The following is a 10,898-nucleotide window of genomic DNA, read 5'->3' on the forward strand; positions in this document are numbered from 1 at the left end:
AATCTTCAAAAAAAAAAAAAGGATGGTTGCATCTGTTCTGAATATGTACAGACTTCTTTTTCTTATTATTCCCTAAACAATACAGCATAACAGCTATTTACATAGCATTTGTAATGTATTCTATATTATTAGTAATCTAGAAATGATGATTTAAAGCATCCAGGAGGATGTGCATAAGTTATATAAAAATAACTACAGCATTTTATAAAGGGAGTTAAGCACCAGTGGATTTTGGAATCTGCAAGGATCCCTAGAACAAATCACCCACCAGATACTGAGGGATGCCTCTACTTCTAAATAATCCATGAGTCAAAGAGGAAGGCTCAAGGAAAAGCAAAAATATATATTGAACTGCATGATAACAGAAATACAATATATCAAAATCTATGGGACTCAACTAGAGCAGTGTTGAGATGAAAATTTATAGCACATTTTAGTGCCTACATTAGTAAAAAGGAAACAGAAAAATATCATATCAATAATCTAAGTTACCACAATCTAAGAAACTAGAAAAAGAAGGATGCAGCAAACCCAAAGAAGGAAGGAAATAATGAAGAAAATAATAAAGAGCAGAAATAAAAAAAGATAGCTCCTACTTTCTAGAAGTTTGTAGCTTATTTAGAGAGATAATATTAATACACAATACAAAACGATGTAGAAGCACAGCCTAAAAGATGAAGAGGGGTTCGGGCAACTTCCATTTTGGCTCCCAATATACTAAAAAATGAAGAAATGACAAAACAGGATTGTTGTTATTGTGAGATTAATATATTTTAAAGTTTTACATTAGTATATAGACCCTTATATGAATAAAAATGAAGTAACTATATTATTCACAAGATAACATAATTTATAAACATATACAGTTAACGAGTACATCAAAGAGCCCAGTGATGGGGCATAAGGCAAACCTGTATAATGAACGTATTCTTCATCGAGCCTGTCTTGGTACATGTGATTATATCTTTAGTCTCATCTAGAAATAATGTCACAAATCTGCACTCAAGAATCTGTAGATCATAAAACATAAAATGAACCGTGGGTTTATTCTATTTTAATATTTCTGTAGAAGACATCTCAACTAATAAAGCCATGTCACATTTTTTTCCTTTGCTGCTAATGGAGTATTTGCAAAACTCTGCACACTGCCGAAAAAACAATGCCATTTGTGGTATTACCATAAAGCCATATTCTGAAATTGCACCAGTCTTGAGTATGACAGTCACATCTGATATACATGAAAATGTCAGTATGCCCCTGTTATGCAAATTGAACAAAGAAGCACTCAATTACTCAATACACACTCACAAAATGCAGATTTTACATGTGAAAATAGTAGTAAAAGTGCACTGTGATAGAATCTGACATAATATTCTTGAAGGGGAACCCAAGGCTTCTCATTGTGTAAACCAGAAATGTATATTCTCTACTTCCACTCTCCCATCGGCCATCGATTACTTTGGAGGCATGCAGCTCTCATAGAGACCACCTTTGACATTGGTTTGGTCTATTGCAGAATGGCATGGCCACAGGTCAAATGGATCACAGTAAAAAGTGCTATTGGATCAGGGGTCTGCCTCTGCAAATCTGCTGTCTTAGCTAAATGCCCTCTTGCCTGGCAAGGCATCTGCTTGTCCTGTCACAGATTCCAAGCTTAGCAGGCAAATTTCCCTATCAAGCTAACATCAATGCCAAGAGCTCTGTTTTTCTATTCTGGCATGCTCAAATGATGGACACAGACCTCTGTAGGTGTAATGGGAGGTTCATGTTTGGTTCACAGGGAGAAATCAGAGTGCAGTAGATTGAGCTGTTTAAGTCTTTGCTCAGTTGCTCATGAGTCATATGACCTTGATCAAGTCACTTAACCTCTTTGAGCCTCAGTTTACTCATCTATAAATAGGGTCCTATTCAACCTCAGGCTTATAAGAAGGATAGAGTAAATTAATGTATGGCAAAGTGATTGATAGATATCAGACCCTTAGCAAATATTAGTGATATTGATGATAGCTCTGTGTTTCAAAAAAGAAAGCCAGAGGGGAAAATCAAAAGGGGTTTTCTTCCTGGTTCCTTAGCTTGAAAAAATAGGGGATAAAATGTTCACACTTGGGTGGTTTTAGAGTGCTTAAAGACATATGTTAGATTACAAACAGACTACTAACAGTCATTATGAGTTCTTAATTGAGTTACTATTCCCACTGCACTTTTTCAATACCAAGAAAATGGAATTACTGCCTAGTAAATTTCTCACCACTGTGATAAAAAGTCAAGAGGCTTCTTACCTCACAATCAACCCTCATAAGGGGTAAATAATAATATTGCCATTTAACAGACAGGAAACCGAAACTTTGAAAGTCTGGAAAACAGCAAAAGCTTTTACTTCACTCTATCTTATGCCAAAACTCATGTTCCCTTCTTAGTACCACACTGCTTTGCATTTCAGTTCTAGCTCTAATAATTCCTCTGAAAGTGGCTCAAATGTTACTAATATCTAATATTTGCTCAGTATTTACAATGTGTCAGCCACATTTATATATTAAATTATATACTTTTTATAACAAACCTAGAGGATAATTGCTATTGTTATCCTCAAGACAAATATGGAGACTGAGACTGGAGAAGTGAAACCACTTGCTCAAGGTCAAATGGCTGGTGAGTGTCAGGGCTCTGATTCAAATCCAGACAGCAAGACGTATCACTGTTCTTCTCAACCATTACATGAGATGGATGCACCACGTAAATCCATGATTCTCAACATGTATTGATCTCACAACATTCTTTCCAGCAAAGAGTAGCCAAGAATTACAAACTCCATCAGGATAGCAAAGTGATTAGTCCAAGATCACACAGCAGCAAGACCAGAACTTAAACCAGGGCTTTGTTGATACTAGTCATAACAGATACTATTTATAAGGAGCCTACTAGGTGCCAGGCACTGATGTAGGTAGCTGATATTTCAAAACAACAACAAAGTAAGTGCCATTGTCTTCTTTTCATATATAATAAAATTGAAATCAATTCTTAAGTCAATTATTTGAGGCAATATAGCCAGTAAACTGCCACTTCAGGATTTGAGCCTATATATTTCTATCTTCAAAGTCCATACTTTTTCCAAACACCCCAGATTATTCCCTTGAGTCTCAGTCTATTGTCCACTTAACTATTATATAAGTTCTTGATTTGCTCTTCAAAATTTGTTTTCCACGATGTTATTTCACAACTGGAGTTTGCATATGTATTTTCAAGATGAAACAAAGTCATTCCAAGGAACAAAGACCTTCTCTATGACTTTTTCCCTTTATCAAATCAAATCTATTATTGTTTCTTATAAACTATTATATTTTCCTTCAGAGAAAAATGCCCCCATAGATCTAGGAATTTACAAAATGCTTATGAAGAGACAAAAACTTCAATTAGTCATTTTCTAGTTTGGAGTGGGATTATCTCACAGAAATGCAAATTTGGTAAGTATTTTGATTAGGACACAAGGAGCTAGAGAAATTACCCTCAATTTGAAAGAAGAGATAAAAGAATTTTGAATATCTGGTAATTTTTAATGTTCTCACTATAAAATAATAGACTATTCCTGGTTCAAAGTTACATTTGAGATCATATATCCCCACTCTCATTTTATTTATTTAGGTTTATTTCATCAGAAAAAAGATTTGAGGAAACGTAATAAAATTACAAATGAACTGATACATTTAAAGACAAAAAGATAAGTAAGAGCCATATAAGAAGGAAGGCGATCATTTCATTAGAAAACTAATGGGAGGTTATGACTGTACTTGAAGATCTGTTCCATTTGTTACATCTTGGCAGCAAGGGCAAAAATGGAAAATGTTATTTGTAGATAATGTAACTTATATTATGTAATGATGCTAATAGTTAATATCTATACGAAAGGTTGAGGTAGTGCCTAGAACAAAGTAAGTTGCTCAATAAGTGTCTCTTCCTGCTTCTCCTTAAAGAGCCTTTTTTTTTTTTTTTTTACGCAAATTCCAGCTTAGGGGTAATATCCCTTTCTAAAGCAGAAATTATTTTCTGCTGGGAGTTGTTCCTAGACACAATTTGCTCCTTATTGAATAAATAAATAATTCCTATTTTGTAAAGTAAAATTCACAAAATGAGCGATAAATTCTTTATAACCATAAATTTCTCAAAAGATTAGACAAAAAGTGAGGAAGGAAAAGAAACGAGGAAAGGGGAGGAGAAATGAAATTTCATCATATAAAAATAGCATTTAGGCCGGGCACAGTGGATCATGCCTGTAATCCCAGCACTTTAGGAGGCCAAGGCAAGCGGATCACGAAATCAAGAGATCGAGACCATCCTGGCCAACATGGTGAAACTCCATCTCTACTAAAAATACAAAAATTAGCTGGGCGTGGTGGCACGTGCTTATAGTCCCAGCTACTTGAGAGGCTGATGCAGGAGAATCTCTTGAACCCAGGAAGTGGAGGTTGCAGTGAGCCGAGATTGCACCACTGCACTCCAGCCTGGCCACAGAGCGAGACTCCATCTCAAAAAAAAAAAAAAAAAAAAAAAAAGCATTTAATTCATGTGCATATTTGTAAACATTTAAGTAGATTTCCTCAAGACCTCAAGATGTGGCTGTCAGTATATTTCCCTTAATCACTCAGAGTAATTGCTCTGGTTTGAATGCTTGCATCGCCACCAAAATTCATGTTGAAACTTAATCCTCAATGAAACAATATTAAGAAGAGGGGCCTTTTGGGAGGTGATTAAGTCATGAGAGCTTTGTCCTCATGAATGAAATTAGTACCCTTATAAAAGGGTTTGAGAGACCTGTAGCTAGACACTTTTTTGTCCTTCTGCCTTCTACCATGTAAGGAAAATGCAGCAACAAGAAGCCATCTTGGAAGCAGAGACCAGGCTCTCACCAGACACCAAACCTGCTGGCAACTTGATCTTGTACTTCCCAGCCACCAAAATTGTGATAAGTAAAATTCTATTTTTGTAAATTACCCAGTCTCAGGTATTTTGTTATAGCAGCATGAACAAATTAAGATAGAAATTGTATAGTTTTAGAAGATGTGTATGGCTGAGAAGTTGATAAAGTGTGGACTTATGTTGGTTAATTTTTGGTGTCAACTTGACTAGATTGAGGGATACTCAGAAAGCTGGTAAAGCATTATTCCTACGTAAGACTGTAGGGTGTCTTGAAAAGAGATTGGCATTTGAATCAGTGGACTAAGTAAGGAAGATCTTCCTTCACTCAATATGGGCAGACATCATGCAGTCAGCAAAGGGCCAGCATAGAACAAAAAAGTATGAGATAGGCAAATTTCCTCTCTCTGATTCTCTTTCTCTCTGATTCTCTCTCTCTCTCTCTCTCTCTCTCTCTCTCTCTCACTCTCTCTCTGTTTCTCTTTTCTGGAGCTGAGATACGCATCTTCTCCTGTCCTTGGACATCAGAACTCCAAGTCCTCTGGCCTTTGGACTTCAGGACTTGCACCAGCAGTGCCCTAGTTTCTCAGGCCTTCGGACTCAGACTGAGAATTCCAACATCACTTCCCCTGGTTCTCAGGCCTTCAGACTTGGACTGAGACATCCTACCAGCTTACCCGCTTCTCCAAGATCGTAGACAGTCTATAGTAGGACTTCTCAGCCTCCATAATTGTGTGAGCCAATTCCTCTATAAATATACCATTGGTTCTGCTTCTCTGGAGAACCCTGACTAATATAGCAACTCACAAACAAGCATCCAGTTATCCCAGAAAAGCCATGCTCATTCATTTATAAACATTGATGAAGACAAATGTCACGTAGGGGATAACCATTTTTAAAAGCTAGATGCATTTGAGGGTTTGATTACTTAAACAATTTTATAAAATGTAAGCATTGATTCACTTAACCAAGAATTTTTAAAGCATTAATAAGGACAAAGATGGCTGAGGCCTATGGTAACTTTGAGACCCCATAGACAAAATCCTCATGAAATAGAGACAAGGTGTAATAACCCAAAGCTTCCCAATGTGCATGCTGTTGTATAGGTGTGTCAACAGGAGACAGGTGATCTGAGATAGTGTCTCCGCAGCCTTGGGGCTACTGGAGCAAGCAACCTGGCCTGTTTATCCACGTATAAAAATAGTGCCATTTTCTATGTGTAAAAAAAAGATAGGAAAGCACTAAAAGAGGCTATAAAATAATATTAGTAAAGATGGACAAAGAACGTTATTGATTTCAAACAGATAAGTGGAAAAGTCTTGAAAAACCATTTCAAATTATTATGGAGATGTAGTCAATTCAAAATAACATAATATTAAAAATATGAGTTATAGTTGTGTGCATTTCTGGACAAGATAATGGAGTTAAGAGTTAAATAGTGAAATAAATACATTAAATGCTCTAGTGATGGTAAAGTGTCAGAAATACTATTTTATTATAAAATATGCTTCTGGGATACATGCACAGAAAAATAACTAAATGCTCTGTTTTCATTTTGTTTTCTTTTGTCTGATTTTCTTAAAGCTGTACAACTCAAAATTGCACTCTCTTCAGTGTAGTCTAAGATTTTATCATTAACTAGACATAGTTATTCAGCTTTCAATTACACAGCCAGATTTTAAAAGGCATTATTTCTTATTGGTTAACTATAAGAATTTGCTTAAATGCAAATATATATGTTTTTCCAGGTACTGATAATTAGTAGTATTTCTTCTTTCAGGAGGTATAAAATTTGAAATTTAGTCCTTAGGGCACAAAGGAAAATAAGTGATTGTCAAAGTTACAGAGAATTTTATTTAAACTTAATTCAGATAATTATGTGAAGGTTGCTTGGTATTAATACTCAAAGTGATAAAAATCCTTTTGAGAATGCTCATAATGGCTTGAAATCAAAGTACCTTTTTCATTTTCAGGAAATTTTATTCAATCTCAAATATAGGGAAAAAAAAGTTACAATTTAATCTCCTAGAAACTGCTTTTACTTTTAAGGCCCAGTCAATCAAGAGGTAAAGTCTTCACAGTTCTTGAACACTCTATGCATTTCCTTCATTGTTTGTTTTAAAACAACATCAAAACTGAAAGAATGAGTTAGTTCTCAAATCACAATTTTAAATGCTTAGTTTTCCCTAATACCCAACTTTCAAGTATTTTATTTCAACCAATATCCAGATAATTAGCTAATATTAGACTTACAAACCACCACTGGGATTGTTATTGTTATTATTTGGGGAACGCTATGATTTATAAATGTTTGTTAAAGTTATTTTTCTTTTATCTCTACCAATAATGAAATTAACTCAATAATAATCCCATAACCCAAAGAGAGCTACTCTTAATATTATAGTATATTCTTATAGACACTTTTCTATATACATGCTATTTTCATTTTTTTACATAATTAACATTCTATAATTTTGTATCATGCTTTCTAACCTAATATGTCACAAGCATATACTATCTACTTTATTATATTTCAACTACATTTTTATAATAATTACATATTATTTCACCCTACAACTACGTTATAATTTATTTCAGCAGTCAACTATTGTTAAACATTTTAATTACTTGCAGTGTTTCATTACTAGAAACAATATACTTCTCTGGTCAAAACATTAAAATGTGCTCTGAAGTACAACTAAAAAATCAAAATTTAAAAAGAAAACTGTTTTAATACATAGTCCAGTGCAAAACACATTAGGGAAGTTTCTAGGTGCCAGAACAAAGAGAAAATGAAAAGTCTTAAGTAGAAGTAGAAGATGAAACCTTTCACCAGGGGTGTTAAAGTCAAATATATGCTGTAAGGGCTGGAGGCTGAGAATAACAGAAGTTGGAAGATGGAGAAGTCATGCCTATGAGTCAGAACTAAACTGCACAAAACAAGGAGACACAAAAGGGTCTGCATTCTAATCTGCAGGCTCTGCTTGCTATCCTGGAAAAGCTGCAAGGAAGCTAGCCACGCGCGTACAGAAGGTGAAAACAAGTCACCTGTAAAGCAGAATGCTAAGCCTGTGCCACTCGTCCTTCTAAGGGTCATATTCCCTGGGTGTGGACATCTCAACATGAGAAGCTAACAGAATAGCTTTCCAAATCAGTAAAACTCACAAATACTTGGCTGAGGCAAATACAAAATTATTCTATAGGAGTGACTCCACAGGGACCAGTCTACAACCCAAGACACTGGGATTTCTCTGGTAAACAATCCCTCTTGAAAAATTACCCACAGTAAAAAAATTATAAGCCCTACATAGAAATGAGCCACGTTGAAGCACAGTGAGTGGATGCAACTAATGGGATCTTTTGAACCCCAAGAACTGAAGATGGTAGAGCGGTCTAAAAAAATACTTGCAAATATAAGAGTTTAAATTGATTAAAGAAATGGGAAAAGAGTAGAAACTGTGTCAAGAACAGAAAATTAAATTAAAATGTGTTTTTGTTAAAAGAGAAAGAAATTTTTGAAATAAATATATGATCAATGTAATTTTTAAAAACTCGAATGTTTCAGTTCAAAAGTCATTAGGTAGAGTTGAGCAAGGTGATTGTCTGGTCAAGGTCAGGGAAGAGGAAGTATAGCTACAATGAGAAATGGGGTACATCCAGGTGGGACTAATGCAATAAATAAATATACTGAGGATAATGAGAGCCAGTTTCCCCACTGTTTGAGAAAACAGTGGCAAATATGAAAAGAGAAAAAATAAAATAGATTAGAACTGTGGAACTCATGGTAGTCAATATAGACAAATCTGGAAGTAAATATAAAAATATATATGTATATATTTATGTATATGTAGATAGATGATAGATACATGCCTTGGTGCAATAGTAATGATTACATTCAACACCCAGATCTTAATTTCTAAATAACCCCTCACCACTAAAAGGAACCAGTGTTCCTTGGTGAAATGGCTGCTTCCAGGGCTGGGGCAGGAAAAGCATAAGGTGACCCTAGAACATCTTTGGGACAGAAAGTAAGAAAATACTCAAAGAATTGTGGGAATGTGTCAAAGACACTATTGTAAAGAAACTTCTAGCCAAATTTTGGACAATTTGAGCATCAAAATAATTATAGCAACAAATTATAATCTGTTGAATAAAAATGTGTAAGTCTATAATGATATAAATAAATTATTATCTAAATCTAGAAAAAGGAAAGCTTTTTCTTACAGTTAACTGCCAAATGATAAATGTAAACAGAATAAAGCAGTTAGAAAATCACAATATGACAACCATCTGAGTAGTAATTAATTCAGCCACCAAACATGAAGGGATACTAAAGCTACTTAGGAAAGGTTTAATGAAGAATGTTGATATTTACATAGTTTCTTTTTTATTATTATTATTATACTTTAAGTTCTAGGGTACATGTGCACAACTGTGCAGGTTTGTTACATATGTATACATGTGTCTTGTTGGTGTGCTGCACACATTAACTCGTCATTCACATTAGGTATATCTCCTAATGCTATCGCTCCCCACTCCCCCAACCCCATGACAGGCCCCTGTGTGTGATGTTCCCCTTCCTGTGTCCAAGTGTTCTCATTGTTCAATTCCCACCTGTAAGTGAGAACATGCGGTGTTTGGTTTTCTGTCCTTGTGATAGTTGGCTGAGAATGATGGTTTCCAGCTTCATCCATGTCCCTACAAAGGACATGAACTCATCATTTTTTATGGCTGCATAGTATTCCATGGTGTATATGTGCCACATTTTCTTAATCCAGTCTATTATTGATGGATGTTTGGGTTGATTCCAAGTCTTTGCTATTGTGAATAGTGCCACAATAAACATATGTGTGCATGTGTCTTTATAGCAGCATGATTTATAATCCTTTGGGTATATACCTAGTGATGGGATGGCTGGGTCAAATGATATTTCCAGTTCTAGATCCTTGAGGAATCGCCACACTGTCTTCCACAATGGTTGAACTAGTTTACAGTCCCACCAACAGTGTAAAAGTGTTCCTATTTCTCCACATCCTCTCCAGCACCTGTTGTTTCCTGACTTTTTAATGATCACCATTCTAACTGGTGTGAGATGGTATCTCATTGTGGTTTTTATTTGCATTTCTCTGATGGCCAGAGATGATGAGCGTTTTCTCATGTGTCTGTTGGCCGCATAAATGTCTTCTTTTGAGAAGTGTCTGTTCACATCATTTGCCCATTTTTTGATGGGGTCGTTTGATTTTTGTTGTAAATTTGTTTGAGTTCTTTGTAGATTCTAGATATTAGCCCTGTGTCAGATGGGTAGATTGTAAACATTTTCTCCCATTCTGTAGGTTGCCTGTTCACTCTGATGACAGTTTCTTTTGCTGTGCTCTTTAGTTTAATTAGATCCCATTTGTCAATTTTGGCTTTTGTTGCCATTGCTTTTGGTGTTTTAGTCATGAAGTCCTTGCCCATGCCTATGTCCTGAGTGGTATTGCCTAGGTTTTCTTCTAGGGTTTTTATGGTTTTAGGTCTTACATTTAAGTCTTTAATCCATCTTGAATTAATTTTTGTATAAGGTGTAAGGAAGGGATCCAGTTTCAGCTTTATACATATGGCTAGCCAGTTTTCCCGGCACCATTTATTAAATAGGGAATCCTTTCCCCATTTCTTGTCTTTGTCAGGTTTGTCAAAGATCAGATGGCCGTAGATGTGTGGTATTATTTCTGAGGGCTCTGTTCTATTCCATTGGTCTACTTCTCTGTTTTGGTACCAGTACTATGCTGTTTTGGTTACTATAGCCTTGTAGTATAGATTGAAGTCAGGTAGCATGATGCCTCCAGCTTTGTTCTTTTGGCTTAGGGTTGTCTTGGCAATGCAGCCTCTTTTTTGGTTCCATATGAACTTTAAAGTAGTTTTTTCCAATTCTGTGAAGAAAGTCATTGGTAGCTTCATGGGGATGGCATTGAATCTATAAATTACCTTGGGCAGTATGGCCATTTTCACGA

General features: G+C 35.5%; 1 annotated feature.

The window, feature by feature from the left end:
* Window positions 9,578–9,728: a silencer, noted in NCBI's record as "fragment chr3:148498709-148498859 (GRCh37/hg19 assembly coordinates)". NCBI's record gives its function as "represses an EF-1alpha promoter that drives an FKBP-Casp9 reporter gene in an ReSE screen in phorbol 12-myristate 13-acetate-treated (for megakaryocytic differentiation) K562 erythroleukemia cells {active_cell/tissue: K562(+PMA)}" and the evidence as "EXISTENCE:reporter gene assay evidence [ECO:0000049][PMID:32094911]".

The sequence above is a fragment of the Homo sapiens genome, chromosome 3 (genome assembly GCF_000001405.40).
Source record: "Homo sapiens chromosome 3, GRCh38.p14 Primary Assembly".
NCBI lineage: Eukaryota > Metazoa > Chordata > Mammalia > Primates > Hominidae > Homo > Homo sapiens.